General features: G+C 41.1%; 2 long non-coding RNA genes and 1 pseudogene across 2 annotated transcripts in view; 2 read left to right on the forward strand and 1 right to left on the reverse strand.

Moving 5' to 3' along the window:
* LINC02413 (long intergenic non-protein coding RNA 2413) overlaps window positions 1-4,496 on the forward strand; it is a 28,863-nt gene extending 24,367 nt beyond the window's left edge. The window contains exon 4 of the long non-coding RNA XR_945212.3: window positions 4,300-4,496. This is a non-coding gene — a long non-coding RNA (long intergenic non-protein coding RNA 2413). The remainder of the gene's footprint in view (window positions 1-4,299) is intronic.
* The window catches only part of LOC643339 (uncharacterized), a 373,979-nt gene that overhangs the window by 11,354 nt on the left and 340,239 nt on the right, over window positions 1-22,386 (reverse strand). The window lies entirely within an intron of this gene.
* On the forward strand, window positions 20,035-21,120 carry DPPA3P5 (DPPA3 pseudogene 5; annotated as a pseudogene).

Below are 22,386 nucleotides of genomic sequence, written 5' to 3' on the forward strand. Positions count from 1 at the left end.
GCATGATCTCGGCTCACTGCAGCCTCCGGCTCCCCAGTTCCAGTGATTATCCTGCCTCAGCCTCCCAAGCAGCTGGGATTACAGGCATGCGCCACCACACAGCTAATTTTTTGTATTTTTAGTAGAGATTGGGTTTCACTACGTTGGCCAGGCTGGCCTCAAACTCCTGACCTCAGGCGATCTGCCTATCTCAACCTCCCAAAGTGCTAGGATTATAGGCCTGAGCCACTCCACTGCCTAAGCACTTCATTTATAAAGCTGTGTCTTAAAAAGCTGGAAATCACTAGCTATTGTTAGGTGGTGAAAGGCATTACACAAAGCAAATTAATATGTTTGATACTTGTTGTCCAGAAATTATATATTTATGATTATATCTACACACACGATAATATTAAAAAATATCCATTGTTGCTGGGAGCAGTGGCTCACTGCTATAGTCCCAGCTATTCTGGAGGCTGAGGATGGAGAATTGCTTGAGTCCCGGAGTTGGAGGTTACAGTGAGCTATGATCATGTCACTGCACTCCAGTTGGGGTGACAGAACAAGACCCTGTCTCTAAAAAATAAAAATAAAAAAATCCATTGGCCTAGACATAACAATTTCATGGTTAGTTATATAGACAAATATATAAATACACACATACACGTTAGCCAAAAATGGTAAGTTCAAGCAGCTGTAAAATAAAATGCAATCGGACATTTTACAGCTTGTATTTTAAGGTCCTGGCTCAGTTCAATCTGTCTTCTCACTGGTTCCTGCTTCTCTCTTCTTTGTTCTACTTCTATTTCTCACCATGTTTTGACAGGTGAGGTTGTTCATGCAAAGGGATCCAACAAAAATACAGGAATGCCACCTTTGCCTCCTCAACCAGGACAGAGCAACCCTCCCTTTCCTCCTTGCAACAAAGCAGGCAAAACACACATTCTCCTACCGCCCCACCATGAAGCTGAGGCACGAATGGCAGTGATGCTATTGTTTTGCTTGCAGGGAGGGAATTTTCATGCAATCAATAAGTCACCTGCCCTCTTTGCCCAGGATCAGCTCTCCACCCAAACCCCTGTGAGCTTCAGTGGTAGAATACTTCAAGCTTCAGCCAGCACAAACATGTCACAGCAAGAGGGACAGCGATTGTATTTGCACACACAATTTGTTTAAGTACAGGCTTTATTTGATCCTTAAAAAAAAAGAACAGCTTTGGTATTACATTACAACCAAAGGAATTTAGCCTTTAACCTGCAGTTTCCCTATTCTCAGTGATATAAAACCTTTTTCTGATAAGAGGTGAGGCCCAGTGAAATTTTATTCTTTTCCCTCTTTCCCGGAGGTGAGGTAATGAACTAACAACTTAATTAGACCCTGTTTTATACCAACTAAAATAATAGAAGGGAGTCTTTGGTAACATGGCAAAAAAAAAAAAAAACAAAAAAAAAACCCCAGGAACATCAGGCATCATAATACAGAGAATATATGATTAGAATTAATCAGGATATGGAAAGATATGTTTATCCTGTAGATACTTCACCCTGAAGCCATACCATTTTTATTTCCCCTCCATTGGGCATAATGGAAGGGACTTGAACCCTCTGCAATGGACTGAATATGCATTCCCCTGAAATTCATATGTTGGAGTTCTAATTCCCAAGGTGATGATATTAGGAATGGGGCCTCTGGGAGGTCGTTAGAGTTAGATGAAGTCCGGAGGGTGGAACCTTCATCATGGGATTAGTGCCCCATATAACAGGCCTCAGAGAGATCCCCTGCTTCTTCTAGCATGTGAGGTTACAGTGAGAAAACGACTGGCTATGAGGAAGCAGGCCCTCACCAGACACTAAATCTGTCAATACCTTAATTTTGGACTTCCCAGCCTCCAGAACTGTGAGAAATAAATTTCTGTGTTTATAATCTACCCAGTCTATGGCATTTTGTGATAACAGCCTGAAGGGACTATGACATTATTCCCCACTGCCCAGCTCCACTGAGAGCTTGAGAGCTAGGACTCTAGAGGACACCCGAGAGAGAGAGGCTGGCTGGAGAACAAAGGGAGATAGGCTTTTTTTTTTTTTTTTTTTTTTTTTTAACAAAGGCCTTCTTGTTGCTCACAAAGGAGGAGGATTCTCATAGACTAATTTCCACCAATGGAAAAAAATAAGAGCAGCTTTGCCCCATCCTCTGAACCCAGTGTCTCTCCAATCATCACACAGCAAGGTTTTTTGTTTTTGTTTTTGTTTTTCAGGTAATGGTCTGTGTATTTGTTTTCTATGCTGTGTGACAAACTACCACACGCTTAACAGCTTAAAGCAACACATGCTTATTATCTCACATGCTCTTTGAGTCAGGAGCCTGAACACAGCTCTGCTGGGTTCTGTCCTTAGGGTCTCACCTGGTGGCAATCAAGGTGTTGGTCAAGGTTGGGTTCTCATCAGAGGCTTGACCAGGTAAAGATCTCTGTGCATACTCCCTCAGGTTGTTGAATTTATTTCTTTGCCATTGTAGGGTTCATGGCAACTCAATTCTTCAAAGTCAGCAACAGAGAGAGAAAGAGAGAGAGAGAGAGAGACTCTACCTGGGTCTACTAAGAAAACAGAGTTCTACATGAACAAACATGATCTTGGGAATGACACCCCATTACCTTTGCCATATTCCACTGGTTACAGGCAAGTCACAGGTCCTGCCTACACTCAAGAGGGCAGAAACTTCAGGAGATAGAGATCCTGGGTACCACCATAAAGTCCATCTGTGTCTCTCTAGTCTAGAAATTTAAGGGTATAGCCAAGGAGTTCTAGAAGCAACATTTGTAGAAGAATCATAAAACGAGGGTAGATATTTTAAGTCTACACACATATTCACACACCCTAACCTACAAATAAAATAAAGGTAGGAGTTTTTCTTGGTGGTCAATGGCATGAGATATTGTAGTCATGCAGTGTGGCTTTGCATCTCTGATCTATAATTTATTGGTTGCTTAACTTTACTAAGCCTCAGTTCCCATCTTTAAAATGGGAATCATGGTACTTATCTTTGAAGCTGTTATGAAAATTAAATTAGATAAAGTAGACAAAACACTTAGCACAATGTCTGGCATAAAAGTGCTCAAAAAATGATTGCTATTGTATCCGGGTAAGATCCTGAGGTGCCTCAAACAAAGTAGAATTTTATTTTTTTAGTTTTATATACTTAATTAACTAACTAATTTTTGGAGACAAGATCTCCAAAAGTCACTCAAGCTGGAGAGCAGTAGTGCGATTATGGCTCACTGCAGCCTGTAGCTCCTGGGCTCAAGCTATCTTCCCACCTCAGCCTCCTGCATAGCTGAGACTACAGGCATGTACCACCATGCTAACTTTTTTTTTTTTAGTAGAGCTGGGGTCTCAATATGTTGCCCAGGCTGGTCTCAAACTCCTCGGCTCAACCCATACTCTCACCTTGGCCTCCCAAAGTGCTGAGATTACAGGGGTGAGTTACTGCACCCAGCCCAAGGTATGATGTTCTCTAGACACAGATAACTTAATCTTCAAGGTTGGGTTCCTTCTGAGATCTAAGAGGTTTGACACCATTTTGGCTCCATGCTTCCCTCAAAACCATGGTCTTTTTAACCTCCTGAGTGGCTCTACCAGGATCTCAGCCTACCTTTTCCTGTATCTTCATCAATGGAACCGGTAAACTTTTGCAATGCTGAGTTCAAAGTCCCTGCAGACCTTCACACTTCATAACTGGAATGCCCTGGAGGAGGCTGGCCTCTTTCCTACCCACCTATGCCTCCACCCATCCTGTCCTTAGGCAGACACCTACGGGTCCTAGCTGACTGTCTTAGCACAAGCTTCCTATATGCTAGACCTGCTTAGACCTTGGAACCTGGCTCCTGAGATGGATTCACTCAATTATTCACTCACTAAACACCTAGGTGACACTTACCAAGTGCCAGACACAGAGCTAGTTTGAAAGAGAGAGAAGAGTGATGAAGACAGAACCCTCTCTTCAAGCAGGCCATTGGCCAATGGAGAGGCAGACACACACCAACAGAGTAAAGCCAACACTTGACTTTGGACAGGAATATATCGGACATCTTACACCAATCCCTCAGCCTGTGAAAATGCAATGATCAGCCGGGCCCCTTGCTTTCTCCCATGTCTCAGTTCCATCAAGATTCATGCTTTCTGTACGGTCTCACACCACTTGTGCATTTCCAACTTCTACTACAGTTTTATGCCTCACGTGATAAGCAGTTTTTGTGCTAGCTGTTTAGTAAATGTTTAGTACTTACTAAAACATTTCATACACCATGTTTTCCTTTCTCCGCAGAACGTGTGTGATGGACTTATGGACTCATTCACTGCATCGATCTTGGGCACTGCCCAGCTTCATGTTCCACTCTCCCGTTTATCCCAAATTGCTGAGGATTTCCTAAGAACCATCACTTTCCAGAGCTCATTATTTTCTGTTATTTGCCTCAGCAGCACAAGCTGTTTTCACAAAGAAATAAAGGGTCTTCTATTCCAGAAGAGTTCTTCTATGCATGTAGGTGAGCAGACAGTGCAGAGCCATGCTGAGGTGTGTGTGCCTTGCTGTCACTGTCTCTCCTCCGGGAGGAACACTAGGCTCCTGTACACCAGGCTTCCCACAGCCCAGGAGGAACACATCCACGCCTTGCCAGTCATTTGCATCTTAGTAAGACTAAAACTAATAAAACTAACAATAAAACTTAAAATAGATTGAAGGATTACAGTATGCCAAGCATATATGTATTGTGTTATTTGGCCCTCACAGTCACCTTTTGAGCTAGGCACCAGTACCAGCTTTAAGAGCTCAGGAAGCTGAGGTGTCAAGATTTTAAGTCATTTGCTCAAGGTCACACAGCTAGGAAGTGTAGTGGGAGAGTCAGTCCCCCATTTGTCCAATGCAGTGCTGTCGCCCAAGTGTGAAGAGGGATGTGCGGGTCTGAGAACAAAGTTAGCCTGCTTAGTACTTTGTCCAAGGTCAGCCCTGGCTCCAAGCCCAAGAAACAAGGCAGGATCAGCAGCCACAAAGTCCAACAGTCAGCCAGGCTCCCATACTGCAGGGGTCTCTATCACAGCCCAGCTCTGGATATGGGCAAATGAAAGCTAGCAGCAGAGTACCCAGGCTACCTCTGCACAGGGAGTGACTGCGGAACTTCAAGAACAAAAGAGAGGCAAAAGATGTGGGGTGGCCTGTCTGGGAGGGACTAGGGAACAGGGACACCTTGCAGATAACTCTCAGGACTGAGGAGTAAATATCTTTTATTAAACAAAGCTTATAATTCTGACTCTAAGCCTGGCGTTCCTAACAATGGCAGGGACTGATGGCTGTGAAAGGCACTAATCAGACACAGTAGATTCGTGTTTACACTGGGAAGGGCCGCTGATCCCGCATAGGCCTTTGAAGCCACCCGTGCTCACACAGATTGTAATGCACTATGAAGTCATGTCTTCAAATAAAAGGGAGGAGTTGAAATAGACCTGTCTAGCCAGTTATTTCTCTAAGGCACTTCAAAGAAACATTTTCTTTGATCGTTTTGACTTTCCATCTATAAGAAATGTGAACATATTACTCATAGAAATTGCTGAGAGACCTCAGGCTGATGGGGGCTTCAGTTTGACCCATCGCCAGTGAAATGGGAAGGATAAGGTAGGGAAGGGCACACTGGTTCTTAAAACTTCCACCAGGAAGTGACACACATCCCCCACTCCCTCACATTTCACTGGCCAAAGCAAGTCACCTGGCTTATCTAACTTCAAGGGGAGCAGAGAAACACCATCCCACCACATGCTGAGAGGGAGGGTGGGCAGATACTCATGACCCCCAGTAAACAGCACTGATGACTAACACAAAGGCCAAGTGATAAGGAGGTTGTTTTTAGGAGGTCAAATGAAGGAGTATATTCTTCAAGAAAATAAGGCACTGATGAGCTTTGTTACATCTCCACAGTAATTTCTAAAATGGAATTTCCCCATGAAGGCCTTTAATATGAGCATTACAATTGTTTAAGAAAACAAAGTGTCCTGATTTGACTAAATTATCAAGGAAAAATGTGGAAATTACAAAACTGGGACCAAAGCAATTTTCCCATGTGTAACTGGAGGATGAAACAATCCGTCTCTCATTCTGGATTGTTGGTGGGAAAATCCACTATAGGACTCTACAAAGGAAAACTACCAAAACTTGGATGGCACCTTAAACCTTTTCTCCCTGGAACTTGCCTATTATCTCGCTTTTTCTCTCAGCAGTTTCAACGCATTTTACATGTATCACCACGTCTGGAGTTTCAGATAACCTGACGATGACTATTTATATTTCACTCACGTGTTCCTTCATTCAACAAACATTTATTTTGAGGATCTACTACACGCAGCATTCTTCTCTAGACACTAGGGATACAAAGATAAGACATGGTTCTACCTGTAAGGTACTTATTAACAAATTTAGTTGAGGGAAGAAAGAACATGAATCAGAAAATTATAGAATATTGCAAAAGTACAGGCTGGTCTCAAGGTAGTGAGATATCTTAATTGATTTTTCAGTCAGCTGCAGATCGAATTATTCGTCCTACTCTTCCCTTCTCATTACCGTACTTGACTAGACTTTAAGAAAAAAAAAAGTAGGCCAGGCTCGGTGGCTCACACCTGTAATCCCTGCACTTTGGGTGGCTGAGGTGGGCGGATCACCTGAGGTCAGGAGTTCGAGACCAGCCGGGCCAACATGGTGAAACCCCGTCTCTACTAAAAATACACACACACAAAAAAAAATTAGCTGGGCATGGTGGTGGGTGCCTGTAATCTCAGCTACTCAGGAGGCTGGGGCAGGAGAATTGCTTGAATCTGGGAGGTGGAGGTTGCAGTAAGCCCAGATTGCACCTCTGCACTCCAGCCTGGGTGACAGAGTGAGACTCTGTCTCAAAAAAAAAAAAAAAAAAAAAAAAAAAAGGTGCCAGCTATTATGGGAGAGCTGAAATGATATTTATAAGGACATCACCTTCCTTGCAAGGGAGTAGTGTCCGTGTAGGGGTCACTCAGTACACAGGGACATGGCTTGAGGCAGTGCAGGTGTGCATTGCACAATATCAAGGCACACTCATCCCCTTACAGGCTTCTTAGATTTATGCAGATGTCACTTAGGTGTCTTGAACCACGAGTACTCCTATCTGTGCCACCATTTGAACTGCGAACAGGACAGCCAGCAACGAACCAACCCTTAGTTCTCTGAAATATGTTCATCATATGCTTACTCTTATTTTTATTAGTATGATATAATGATAATCTCTAACTTGCTGAACAATTTTTTTTAATAATCATCGATTATACATCCAGTCTGACTAAGACTGTTCTAACCACATTGGAAGTCCGAGATAAAGATATGCCACAGTCCTTGACCTCAAAAAGCTTTAAAACTAGATGGGGAAGAGAGACAAAAGCACATAAATCAGTTCGAGGATAATTAAATGCTAACTTGTGTAACACTAAGTTTAAATACAATCTGAGTTATGAAGACCAAGACATCAGCCTTAGATGGGACTTCATCTGGAGCTTAAAGGACATGGAATATTTGGGTAGGCCAGGGGAAAGAAAATGATGAGAATGTATGACTCTATCGATCTTTGGCCATTACTTCCTGGGCAAAACACCTCAAAGCTCACGCCTTGCTGATGGAGAGTAGCAGCTGCCCCTGTTGTCACAGCAAAGAGGGTGGCACAGCTGATAAAGGGTAGGGAACTCTGCCCATCACTCTCTGACCTGCTCTAACTCCTTTCAGCACATCAAGTTACCCTGTGCCATTGTCCCAGGTTCCTTCCGTGTAGAGCAAGTCCTTCCTTCTGCTATTACCTTGCAGCAGTTAAGAGCACACGCTAGTTCACTAATTCTCCAAGTGTGGTCCCCAACCAGCAACATGAGCATTACTGGGGAACTTGTTAGAAATGCAAATCCTTGACCCCTGCCCCAGACCTAGTGACTCAGATAGTCTGGGGGTTAGGTCCAGCAATGTGTGGTTTCCCAGTCCCTCCAGGAGATTCCGGTGCACACATGTTTGAGAACCACTGGGCTCAGCAGACACCCTGGCTTCAACTCCTGGCTCTGTTGGCACTCATCAACTCCGTGCCTCAGACAGATGGTTAATCCTGCTAAATCTCAAAAGGATATAATAGTAGCACCCATCCCCATGGGGCTATTGTGAAGAAAAAATAAGTTAATGCATAATGCAAGGCCCTTAGCCTAATTAATCCTTGATAATTGGTAAGCACTCAGTGACTTAGTACAATTATCGCCTGATAAGATTTCCCTTTACTTTTTTTTTTTTTTTCATCCAGGCTGGAATGCAGTGGCACAATCATGGCTCACTGTAGCCTCGACCTCCTGGGCTCAAGTGATTCTCCCACCTCAGCCTCCTGAGTAGCTGGGACTACAGGTATACGCCACCAAGCCTGGTTAATTTTTTGTATTTTTTGTAGAGATAGGGTTTCACCATGTTGCCCAGGCTCACTTCGAACTCCTGGGCTCAAGCAATCCATCTGCCTCAGCCTCCCAAAGGGGTGGAATTACAGGTGTGAGCCACTGGGCCTGACTCGTTTTCTTACCATAACATGGTTGGGAAATCTTATCTAAAGATATGTTTCTCAACATATCTAAAGATGTATTTCATTGCTCCTTCTCTTCTCCTTCACCACTGTCATCTCCAATAGCCCCATTCTCACCACTCTTTGGCTTACTAGTCTTTTTTTCAATAGCATAAGATTTACCATTTTAATCAATTTAAGTGTACAGTTCAATGACATTAAGTACATTCACATTGTTGTGTTATCGTCACCACCATCGATCCCCAGAACTTTTTTTTTTATCTTTCCAGACTAAAACTCTGCACTCATTAAGCAGAAATTCCCATGGCCCCTTCCCCTTCTCATCCCTGGAAACCAGCAGTCTTCTTTCTGTCTGTCTCTGGGAATTTGACTACTCTAGATACTTCATAAAAGTAAAATCATACAGTATTTATCCTTTGTGATTGGCTTATTTCATTAGCATAATATCCTCAAGTTTCATCCATGGTGTAGCACAGGTCAGAATTTTTATCCTTTTTAAGGCTAATATTCCATTGCGTGCATAGTACACATTTGTTTCTCCATTCATCTACACATGGACACTTGGGGTGCTTCCATCTTTTGGCTGTTATGAACAGTGCTCCTGCAAATATAGGAGTACAAATGTCTCTTGGACTCTCTGCTTGTAATTTTTTTTTTTTTTTTTTTTTTTGAGACAGTCTCACTTTGTTGCCCAGGCTGGAATGCAGTGGTGTGATCTTGGCTCATTGCAACCTCTGCCTCCTGAGTTCAAGTGATTCTCCTGCCTCAGCCTCCTGAGTAGCTGGGATTACAGGTGCCTGCCACCATACCAGGCTAATTTTTGTATTTTTAATAGAGATGGGGTTTCACTGTGTTGACCAAGCTGGTCTTGAACTCCTGACCTCAAGTGATCCACCTGCCTTGGCCTCCCAAAGTGCTGGGATTACAAGTGTGAGCCACTGCATCCGGCCTCTGCTTGTAATTCTTTTGGGTTTATACCCAGAAGTCGATTGCTGGTGGTTTACTAATCTTGATAGCCCCCATCTTTAAGAGAAGCCTTAGTTTCCTGTCTCCTCTGTCAAGGTGGCTTAGCCTCCACTACCAGAGAGCAGTACATCCTCCTTCTGCATCTAGGAGAATGTTATAGGAGTATCTTGTATTCTTCAAAAACTTGAAACTGGGTGAGTAAAGGGCCAGTTTTCCTCTAAAACATACTTAGGCCCCTCTAACCCTAGACTTCATTTCATCAGAGTAAATGGTTTTTATTGTCTGTCTACAAATACAAACTCCTCAAAGAGAAAACTTTATTTTCTGCCATTCCACTGGTGACAAGGACCTGAGAATAAAGGAGGATTATAGGGCAGACTGTCTGCTATGATAACTTATTTTTCTTCCAGTTGTTTCCAACCAAACATACAGTATTATTAACTTTGACTGTGGTCGTCATTTTGGCTTCAGGCTTAATCTATTTTGACTAGGAATATTGTCCTCGGAAACACTACAATTTCCTGAAGAGACTGCAAATCAGCAGTCTTGACTAAACTCATACATGGCCGTTATCTTTCCTCTGCTTGAAAGATGTACAAAGACAGTATGTCATTGTGAGCCAGGAGGTTTTCTTTATTTAGCGTCTGCCTTCTGGCTCAGCTATAAGGTAAGGCAATTAGGTACCCAACATTTATAACAGACATGTTTAACTTCCCTGATATGTCCTGCAGAAGTTAAGCAAACACAAAGATAATAGATTTTAACTAGCAGTTAGGAAGTTTAGACTTCAAACCTTTGAGACTGTATAAAATATGATGGCGAGACAATGGACAATGTATTCATTTACTACTTAAAACCATCTTGAACTGAAATATTTAAGGTAGAATCATTTCTACCTGTGAGGTCCACAAGAAATGTGTACTAAACATCTTTTAATGCAAGACTTTGATGTTGAGCATGGTCAAGAATAAGCAAAACAAATGTGATCCCTCTAGGAGGCAGTGTTGTGTAGTGGAGATATCTTGATTCAGGTTGGCTATGTTGCTGTTAGCCTCCACCTCATACTGGTTATATGACCTTGAGCAAATTACTTAAGTTCTTCATATCTCAGTTTCTTCACCTGAAAAGTGTAGATACTATTAGCACAGGAAGGCCATTTCCTGTCATTTAAGGGTAACTGGTATCTGGAAATTCCCACATTGATTGATTGATTGAGACAGGGTCTTGCTCTGTTACCCAGGCTGGAGTACAGTGGTGCAATCATATCTTGCTGCAACTCAAACTCCTGAGTTTAAGGGATCCTCCCACCTCAGCCTCCTGAATAGCTGGGACTTCAGGTGAGCGCCATCATCCCTTACTAATTGTTTCTTACTTTTTTTAGAGACGAGGTCTCCTTATGTTACCCAGGCTGGTCTCTAACACTTGGCCTCAAGCCATCCTCCAGTCTTGGCCTCCCAAAGTGCTGTGATTCCAGGAATGAGCCACTGCACCTGGCCTCTAGGGCTACTTAAAATAAATGCACCAAAATATCATTTGGAAAAAGTAGGTGTTATTGGGACATTTTCTTGAAAAATGAACTAAAAATTACACCAATTATAAAACTGTCTTACATTTAACCAAATTTAGTTTAAAATTTCAACTGTACAGTTATTCTCAGAAAAAAATTCAACAAATAAATTAGTTTGGAGCAATAATCTATTGCTTTGGTATTGGATTCTCCCTTTTGAAGCACTTGTCACTGTTCCCATCATTGTTTTCTTCAATTGTTAACAGGTTGAGTCATGTCAAATCCTTGTTTGCCATTGGCTTGCAAGTAGTTCTAGTAGCTCTCCTCCATCACTTTCATCAACTTCATGAAATTCTAAATGTTTAGCAAATTGTGCTTTTTCCCTTTGCAGTCCTTCTGCTTTATATTTTCAATGTAGAGTATCATGTTGTAAATATCTGACAATTAATGAGACTATGGCCAACAAGGGTGACTGGCCCACTGGTCAGAAAATATGATGGATCAAACAGGAATAGACATTTGAATGGAGACTGATTTTAATAAAGGGCCAGCTCATGACAATTTTTACTTTCCCAACACCTATTAACTACAGAGACGTGGAAAATGAGTACTCAGATAGCATAAACGCTCCATTTCTCATTAAATTGTCAAATGCCATGGCTCAGCACAGTGTCACATGAGTAACATGTGTGCCTTAGCTGTTAATATTCTCATTATTTATTTAAGAGGACCCACATGTTCACAAAGGAGTTGAAGGCATTTAAATACAAATTGTATATAAGCTAAGAAGAATATTTTCCTTAAATCACTCCACTTTTCCATCAATAAACACCATGATTAGAGAACAAAGGAATCCCTCACTCTTAAACCTGCCTCTATTCCTTATTCCCCTTTCCCCTTATTTTGTCTTATCTTCTCTCGGCAACACTTATTGCCATCTGACAGACTGAAAGTTTATATATAAATACATGTGTGTGTGTTTTCATCTTTCTCCTGCCACTAGAATCTAAATTTCAGAGTGCAAGGATTTCCTTTGTTCATTTATTTGTCCCTAGCACCAAGAACAAGATCTGGCAGATGGTGCGTGTTCAGTAAGATTTGTTGAATAAATGATGAATGGAAGACTCCTCATTCCAGGGCCCAAGTGCCCAGGGACCATCACAGCAATTCCATGGCTAGGGATCCCAATGCACTATGTCCTGAAAGAGTCTCTGATGTGAATAGGAAACACAATCAGTGGATACTGTGCAAATCCTAAGAAGAAAAGACAGCACAGAGATTCCAAGAAGCACACGGTAGATTGAAAGGCTGTGCACAGTTACTGCAAACTCAGCCCTGATTTGTGGTTGAACTAGGCTCCATTCTAATTCAATTCAATTCAGAAGGAATAGAAGGGTCTTCTGTGGGGCAAAGGAAGCAAGTTGGAATTCTCCCTTCCACAAAGAAAAAGATATGTGTTTTTGCATCATGGTGTAGTGGAAAGAACTACCTGTACAGATCAGAAAACTGGTGTGCTGATCTCAGCTCTGACGTGACTTGGGTCTGTAACTCAGCAAAATCACTTCAAGCTTTCAGGGCTCTACAGCTTCATCTGTATGACCAGAGGGTGTGACTAGATCAGCATTTCCTAAAGCACGATCCTTGGAACAACTGGCACTCTAGACCTGCACTCACAGGTAGTCGCTAGACACATTTAGCTATTGAGCACTTGAAATGTGGCCAGGGTCACATTTTAAAATATAAAAACTAAAACAACATACAAGGAAAATTTAAAGTGTCTCACTAATAATTTTTATGTTGATTAATGTTGGAATAATAATCATTTTGTAGATTGGGTTAAATACATTATTAAATTTGGGATAGAAGGGGAGGCTGGGCATGTTGGCGGAAAGGGGTATATGGGGACTGTCAGTACTTTCTATTCAATTTTGCAGAAAATTGAACCTAGAACCAAAAAATGAAGCCTATTTATAAATAAATAAAATTTATATAAAAAGTTAGGTTTACGTGTTTCTTTTTACTTTTTAAATGCGGCTACTAAAACATTGAAAATTACATATGTAGTTACAGATACAGTTGGCAGAATATTTCAACTTGACATATATTTCTATTGCTGTTCTATAATCTGAAAGAAGAAAAAATGTTTCTCTAACCAAACACTGTACATCATATCCCCCACATTTCACCACCCCTCTCCCTTGTCATCACGCTCATTATTAAGGTGTGAATATCGACATGGATATAGGGTGTGGAAAGGTAGACAATGGAGATTTGGAGGGGCGATGGGATGGGAGAGGGGTGGATGATGAGAGATTACTTAATGTGTATAATACATGTTATTTGGGTGATAGATGCCCTAGAAGCCTTGACTTCACCACTATGCGATCTATGCATGTCACAAAATTACACTCATACCCCATAAATTTATGCAAAAAAATACCCAAAGTGTGTTTAATACACAGTATGGAGAAACATGTTTGATTGGCATTTTCTAGATGCATTTGATAATGGAATCTATTTTCCACTGACCATCTATTCATACCCTTCAGTTCTGAGGAAGATATTCTGGAAATGTCAGATCTAGATTCTCTGTAAAGTCTTTTTGGAGTCCAATAATTTGTGACATTAGGATTCTAAGGATGTGGAAGGAGGCCATGAGTGAGAGTCTAACATGCCTGTTCAGATAGGGAGAGTTTTAAGGAGAAATCATGTTCTTCACCAACACCTCACAGGAGAGGTAGCAGCTAACTGAATGCTGAAAGGGAAGAAAATTGGGAGACCAGAGCCTGGAATCAAGGGACTGGGGAGGAGAGCCAAGCTCAGGCCCAGGGGGTCTCCTAAGAGAAGTAAACCTGGCTCTCTACTGTGTGGGATGCTGATGCTTGAGAAACCAGCACCACAGGAAATGTCAAAGTCCTGGATAGAAGTTGGAAATGGAAAACATGAAGTTCCAGCAGCAGCAGCAGTATGAGCAACTAGAGGGCTGCAGAAATCCCACCGTTGAAAGAACTCCTTCCATGTCAGTGGGTCAAACCCAGCCAGGGAGGCTAGGCTGCTCCACACTTCCACCCTCTCACCCCCAGGGCTCCAGAGAGCAGATGAGGAGAAACCCGTAAGGATTTATCTAGCCAGATAAAGCACTGAAGCCACAGCCTGTGGCCTCTGACCGAGATTTCTACGTGAGTGATAGGAAACCTATTTCTGTGCCTGACATTTCTGCCTGTTTCCAGACAGGGTGTCCCAACTCAAGTGCTATGTGGCTTAGGATTTCTGGGGTTCCATTATGAATTGAAGTTTCTCTGGGATGAACCTCAAAAATTTTCCTACCGTATTGCTTCCTAACTTCTCCTTGGTCCTCTGAAACTGCCAAAGTCTTGCTTTGTAGAATTACTTTCTGTAAGCTCCAAGTGTGTATTTATTTTGAATTAACATTGTTTACAGCTTTATTGAAGAATAATTTATATACAATAAACTTCACCAACTTAAAGTGTGAATGGATTTTAGTAAATGAAAATAGTCATGCCACCACCACCACAATCACATTTTGGAACACTGCCATAACCCCGAAATTGTCCTCAGGCCCCTTTGCATTCAACTCCTGTCCATATCCCCAGCCCCAGGAAAAAAACAATCTATTTATTGTCCCTTTAGTTTTGTCTTTTTAGGATTTTCATTAAATATTTTGAGACAGCCAGGTGGGAAGGGATCCCCAGAGAGACTCCAACCGGCCTGCTCCCCGGGAGGAGTGCGCACTGGGGTGGAGCCTTGGGAAGTTCGTGCCATTTGCAGGGGGAGGAGCCTGGCCTTTCTTCTTCCTGGGTGGAACCCGGGATTCAATCTGTGAGGCGGAAGCCTTTACTAGCAGGACTCTCACTCTGCTGAGGGTCCCTGTTTGCCCTTTTTTTCCTTTTCACCCAATAAATTCCATTTTTCTCACCCTTCAAAGTGTCTGTGGGCCTAATATTTCATGGCCGTGTGACAATGACCCGGCTCTTAGCTGAACTAAGGAGAAAGCCCTACAACGATTTCAGGTAAATGGAATCATACAGTACTATACATGGTATTTTGTTTTTGGCTTCTTTCACTTAGCCTGGTGCCTTTAAAATTCATCCACATTGTTGCATCAGTACTCTATAGAGGAGGAAAAATAATTTTTCCTCTACCTTTCATGAGTTCTTAATTGGAACAGACCCTTGTAACAAAAAACAGATTAATAAGAGAAAAACAAACAGAAGATTAATCACATGTATACCTTATGCATATGTGGAAGATACTCAGGGAAGAGTGAATAAAATCGCCAGAGTAGATCTCAAAAGCTTGCTTACACTTGAGACTACAGTCATGTACCATGTCCCCTGAAATAAAGAAAGAAGGGTGTGGGAAATGCCTAGTTATGGGGAACTGGCCAGGAAAAGCCCCATAAACGAGGTTTAGATTTGTTGTACAGATTTAAGCCTATGCCTTCTCCATTGGCAAGAGTGTCTAGTGATCTACCATCCTTTCCTCCTGGTACAGAGAGGGAGACAATCTTACAAATGGAGAGTTCCTTTATAGATGTACATTTCTCTTACAAAAGGGTAACCTCTACTCTCATTTTCAGAGCTTCTCCTGTGTCTGCTGTTTCCCAGAAGAATCACCTCAAATAATCCTTATGCCAAAAAAGCATATTTTGAGGTGGTATATTCTGGTCTCCTACAGTCATATTTTGGGGGTATTGTGCCCTGTAGCCCCATCAACTCCATTCCTTTTAGTTGTTAATATTTAACTGTATATCACCATTTTCTTTTTATCTATATATCAGTTGATGGCCATTCAGATTGTTTCCAGTTCGGTGTTATTATGGAATGATGTTATGAACATTCATGTATGTCTTTCAGTGGGCATATTTTCTCATTTCTCTTGGGTAATACCTAAGAGTGGAATTACTGGGCGGTAAGTGTATGTTTAACATTTTAAGAAGCTTCTTTTTTTGAAACATCTGTATTGTTTTCCATTGCCAACAGCAGCGTATGAGATTTCTAGTTGCTCTATAGCCTCACCAACACTTATTATTGCCAGTATTTTTAACCTTAGCTATTCTAGTGTGGGTGTAGTGGTCTCCCATTGTGGTTTTAAGTTGCAGTTCTGTAATTACTAATGATGCTAAGCATTTTTTCATGTGATTTTTTGACAGTTCATGTATTTTCTTTTGTGCATTGTCTATTCAAATATTTTTCTCATTATATTATTGGATTGTTTTCTTAAGTTGTAAGAGAAATTAATGTTATCTGGATACAAATCCTTTGTTAGATATATATTTTACAAATATTTTCTCTTAATGGCTTAGCTTTTCATTTTCTGAATTGTGTCTTTTGACAAGCTAATGTTTTAACTCTTTATGAAGCCCAATTTATCAATTTCTCTTTTACAGTTCATGCTTTTTGTAATCTATTACATAAGAAACTTGCCCTAATCCAAGGTTACGAAGATTTTTTACTATATGTTATTCTACAAGGTTTATAGTATTGGCTCTGAGATTTAGGTCTACTCTCTGTTTTGAGTGAAATTTGTGTATGCTGTGAGGAAAAGGTCAAGGTACCTTTCTTAATATAGAGATCCAGTTATTCCAGTATAATTTATTGATGGCTGTTCTTTTCTTACCTTGGCACTTTATCAAAACTCAATTGACTATGTTAGTGTAGGTCTATTTCTGGACTCTCAACTCTGCTGCATTAATCCACATACCTGTCCTTATGCCACTACCACACTGTCCTGATTTTCTAGCTTTTCTAGTAAGTCCTAAAATCAGATAGTATAATTCCATTAACTTTGTTCTTTTTAAAAATTGTTTTGGGTATTCTAGTTCCTTTGCAGATGCTGCATTTTAAATAATGCTTTAATGATTGGGAAATATAGCATATCTAATACTATACCCATTTTATTTATTTATTTATTTATTATTTTTTTTTTGAGACAAAATGTCACTCTGTTGCCCAGGCTGGAGTACAGTGGCACCATCTTGGCTCACCGCAGCCTCTGCCTCCTGGATTTAAGCAATTCTCCTACCTCAGCCTCCCGAGTAGCTGGGATTATAGGCATGCACCACCATGCTTGGCTAATTTTTGTATTTTTAGTAGAGATGAGGTTTTACTATGTTGGCCCAGGCTGGTCTTGAACTCCTGACCTCAGATGATCAGCCTGCCTCGGCCTCCCAAAGTGCAGGGATTACAGGCGTGGGCCACCACACCCAGCCATGCCCATTTTATAGACAAGGAAGCCACAGACTTATAGACAAATATCTGACTTCACATCACAAGTCTGAGTTTCTGTCTTTTTGTGGTCACGTCTCATTTTCCTACTGGACTGCCAGTAAGGATCCTATGACAGCAGAAACTATGTAGGTTTTCTTCACTTCTGAATCCCAGGTAAAGTAGCTTTTATAGTAGGTTTTCAACAAATACTTCTTGAACAAAAGAAGGAATCAGGCCCAAGAGAAATTCAATGACTTGTGTCTGGTACTAAGGTCAGTAGCAGAACTGAATCCAGAACTTGAGTTTCCAAACCCTTCATTTAGTACTTTTTCTATCATGCAATGTGAGTGGAGGAGATAGAGAAGAAATGCAAAGAAGAAAAAACAAAGCAAATGATGTTGGTGTAGATAAGAGCATTATTAGAAAGTTTGATAAATGCTTTTGTTTTGATACATCTCAGCCTATAGCCTGCAGCTGCCAGCCACTAAACACTTAGATGTTTATGTTTTGCTTGAAATACTTTTTAACATGCAGAGGGATATCCAGATGATTCACAGATCCCAGACCACAGCCTAAACAGGAGGCAACATTTCCTTCCTGAGCATGGTTCTAGGAAAATAAAGAACAGGTGCATGAGGCCAGAATGAGTCTCTGGGGCTCACAGCAGACAGACCCCAGCTGAACTCTTCTGGACTGACAATGCTTCCAATGAGGAAAGATCTTCAGGGAGCAATGTTTGGCAATGATTTTCTCCCTACAATCTAATTATAAAGTAATTTCAATCAAATATATACAAACATATATATATATATGTATATATCTTGTGCTATAGTTCTTCTTTTTTTAAACCTGGAAAACCAGGTGCCAGAAAAAATAATAACACGGTGTTAATCTGAGAAGGAAAGTAACTGGAAAAGAGGATAAGGAACGTACAACAATCAGACAGTGGAGGTGGCTCCGACTCCACAACCTCTAATTCATGTGACATGTAATCTTCTTAAACAATGATTATAGATACTAACTGTGTATTTGAAGGGGATGGAATTGTCATTAAGTGCTATGCAATATCCTGTCAACCAAATTCTCCCTTCAGGTAAACACATGTCGCTTCTGTTGAAATTAGTAGGTGTCACAGGTAACCGGGAGGCAAGTTTGGTTCTGGAACCTTACAAGGCACTGTGAAGACTTTGATTTACAAGCGATTATTAAGGAAGATTTCCACCAGAAGTAGTCATCCATAGGGGAGAAATTAAGTATCTTTATTTCAATAGAGTCAAGAAACATTCGCTGATGGTAGACTTTGTTCAGAGCAAGATGCTGAGTGTTGCTGCGACAATCCAAGAAGAAACACGGACAGCCCTGCCCCAACTTGCTCCCAAATCTGCAGGTGAAAGGCAGACCATCTCTTGTGTCTGCCTCATTCCCTCAGTTCTCAGCTTAAATGTCACTTTCCCTGGATGACATTCGATTTGCCCAGTAAGATGCAGCATATTTGTAATTACTTATTTAAGGCTTGTTTTCCTCTTTACCTCCAAGAAGAAAGGGACCACGCCCATCTTATGTTGGCAGGCTGTGGATGTCTTGAGAAGAACACAGGTTCTAGAGCCAGCAGCCTGTGTTCATATTTCAGCTTCACCACTTATCTCAGTATGATCTTGGGCAAATCACATAACTTCTCTAAGCTTTGGTATCCTCATCTGCCAGACAGAAATAATAATTCTCTAGTACTTATCTCATAGCACTGCTCTGAGCTATGATTAAATGAGGTAAAGCCACTAAGTGGCCTGGCATGTATTAAGCCCCCAATAACAATGAAATAAAATGTCAGCAGATAAATGAAGTTCATCCCTTTAGTGAATAAAAAAAAGACAATGGTTGCCATTCTCTGGTTATTATAATGATGATACAACAACAATAATTCTTATTGAATGCTTACTATGGGCCAGGCACTGTAATAAATGCTTTACATATAGTCAGTGAATTTAGGACATGTGGATATCAAGCCATCGATGACAACCCGGCCTTTTAAACTCTTCTCTCTGGGCATATCAGCATTTATTAGGGAAGCAGGACCATCAGAAGAGCCAGTGTTGGTGGCATACGAATGTCTGTGTTAGTCAATGTCTTGGAAGGAACTGAATGACATGCTCAAAGGGTTAATTGAGGAGGATGAAATGAAAGAACTGTGTCAAGGATTTGGGCACGGTTAAGGAAAACAATAAGCATCAAGGAATACCTAGGGACTAGCAGCATTTGGGCTGTTACTTCCCCTAAGCTTGAATGGATAAGAAAGAGAAATGGTGTTTCCAGGGTGCAGTGAGATCTATAGTCAAGGGAGGGGAGCTGCCCTGCAGATGCAGTAGTGGGAGATAGAGGATCCCAGCCATGCCAAAACCATGGTGAGGCAGGGAGCATCCAGAGAATGCTCAGAGCACTCTCCTCCTGCTTGCTTCATCTCCTGTTGCTACCTCTCCATGGCCAAACTGTGCTAGAAGCCAGACAGTGATGGAGCCAAGGTGATGCAGCCCATAATTATCTCCTCCTGAAGCAGAGAATCAAACAGAGAAGGGCTGAGAATGAATCTATTTAGAAGAGCAAACAGAATAACCTGCACAAAACCACTGACCATCACATCTAGTCAAACTTGAGTAAATTCATGTTGACTACATGAAGAACATTACAGGGAAGTGAGGAATCTCAACAGTTAAGCCAAGCAAGACTGTCAGAGCTTAAAAAGTTAAAAAGAGGTTGGGGATCTGGTTCTCAGTCTCTTTCTGGGCTACCTTATAGCAATTTGAGGCTCCGTCATCAGTTTCTGCAAGGTTTCAAAGATCCAGGAGAAGCTTAGTGTTGTGTCAAGATGCTGATGGACCCATCACAGAAGTTTAATCCAACCTCCATCCCAGAGTCTTCACAAATGCTCACCAAAGAAAATTCCCAGGACGATTCAGGGGCCTCTCAAATCTGCTCCGAGACGTTGACAAAAAACCTTAATAACTTGACTGTCAATGCTAGTAACGAATCCCCTTCCCCTCTACCGGAATGTTCACTCCATGAACAGTCTACAAGAGCAACAATCCTCAGGGAAATCACAGATCACTTGCTTTACAGGAGGAGAGGAGTAAGAACATTGCTGTCTGTGCAGAGAGAGAGGATGGCAAGATTCAGATACATGTTACTCGGCGGAGTTCATCCGCATGAAAGAATACTAACAAACACTGGGCTTAAGGGAGTTAAGAAGGAATCAAGACCATTCAGATGTCCCTGCAGTTTCTGCTTGTTTAACAGATGGGATCCTTCTGAGAATGCTAGAATAGGGAATTTTGACACCAAGCCACTTCAGCCATAAACCTTATTCTTGTACCTTTTTTTCTTGCTGGTAATTTTATATAGCAGATTGAGAAAGCTACTCTATGCTACTATAGACTATACACCAATACTTTTGATAATGAGTTCTAGGATGTATTTTTCTTCTTGTATCTTTTTCTTCCCGCTATGATACTAGTAATTTATAAGGGATCTGTGTAATTTGAATGTATTTGAATAACTTTAGCTCTACTGTTTGATTTGACCCAAAGAAGCCAAGACGACATAAGTATTCCCATGTGTCTTAGAAGCCCAAAGTCAATGAGATGAAACCCAACATCAAGAAATTGAAGCAAAGTTACTTGTGGATAAAGAAAGCATTAGGTAGTTTGGCTATAGCATAATAATTAGATTTTCTGGCTTTCAAAATTTTGGATTGCAATCACAGCAAACTTTGTTATTTTTACAGTTTTCAGTACAAAAAGGAGTTTATATAGAAACAGTAAAGTTGGCATTTGAGTACCTTTAAAAAACAAAGTTAAAAAGAAAGACAAGCTTTTATTTCCTGCTACAACTACTGAAGATGCAAAAAAGGTAAGGGCCATTAGTTAGCAACCAGTGTCTATTATTCCTCTTTCTGCTGTCATTGTTGAAAGATGAAAGTTCATGCAAGCAGGCTCCATTCTTGCACATGACCTAATTATCATATTTAGTTGAATGTAAAAACCCTAGTTTTGCTGATGAATCTGAAACATCACAGCCAATCACTTTGCCTTCCCATTTTCCTGTCTAACATCAACTGATTAAGATTGGGAGTATCTTCTGTTTGTTAAATGAAGCACAATTCTTCTGGATGATATCTTTATATTTTATTTTTTTGTTGTGATAAAATATATAATACCTAAAATGTACCTTTTTAACCATTTTTAAGTTTACAATTCAGTGGCATTAAGTACTTTCACATTGTTCTGCAACCATCACCACTATCTATCTTCAGAACTTTGTCAACATCACAAAAAGAAACTCCCTATCTATTAAACAATATGTCCCATTTCCCTTCCCCCCAGACCCTGACAATCACCATTCTACTTTCTGCTTCTGTGACTTTGCCTATTTTAAGTACCTCACATGAATGGAATCGTATAGTATTTGTCCTTTTGTGACTGGCTTATTTCATTTAGCACAATGTCATCAAGGTTCACGCATGTCATAGCGTGTATCTGAATTACCTTCCTTTTTTAAGACGGAATAATATTCCACATTATATGTACATACCATATTTCATTTATCCATTCATCTGTCAATGGACACTTGGCATGCTTCCACCCCTTGGCTAGTCTGAATAGTGCTGTTCTGAACATGGCTTTGCAAATATCTGTTCTAGCCCTCATTTTCAATTCCTTTGGTCATCTACCCAGATGTGGGATTGCTGGATCATATGGTAATTATATGTTTTAGTTTTTGAGAACACGCCATACCATTTTCCATAGCAGCTGCAGCATTCCCACAGCAATGCACAAAGGTTCCAATTTCTCTACATCCTCACTAATGTTGCAGAACTTTATCCTTAGTTCAGCTAAAACCAGGCTCTTTCACACGACCAGGAAAGATTATGCTTGCGGACATATACAAGAGTAAGGAAAACGGAATTTATTGGGCAAAAAGGAAAAAGGCAAAATAATTCTTAGCAAAGAGAGAGAGAGTCCTGCTAGCAGATTTACTGCCTCACAGATTGAATCCCAGGTCACCACACAGGAACAGGAGAGGCCAGGCTCCTCCCCACTGCAAACGCC

Source organism: Homo sapiens, chromosome 12, assembly GCF_000001405.40.
Source record: "Homo sapiens chromosome 12, GRCh38.p14 Primary Assembly".
NCBI classification, from domain to species: domain Eukaryota; kingdom Metazoa; phylum Chordata; class Mammalia; order Primates; family Hominidae; genus Homo; species Homo sapiens.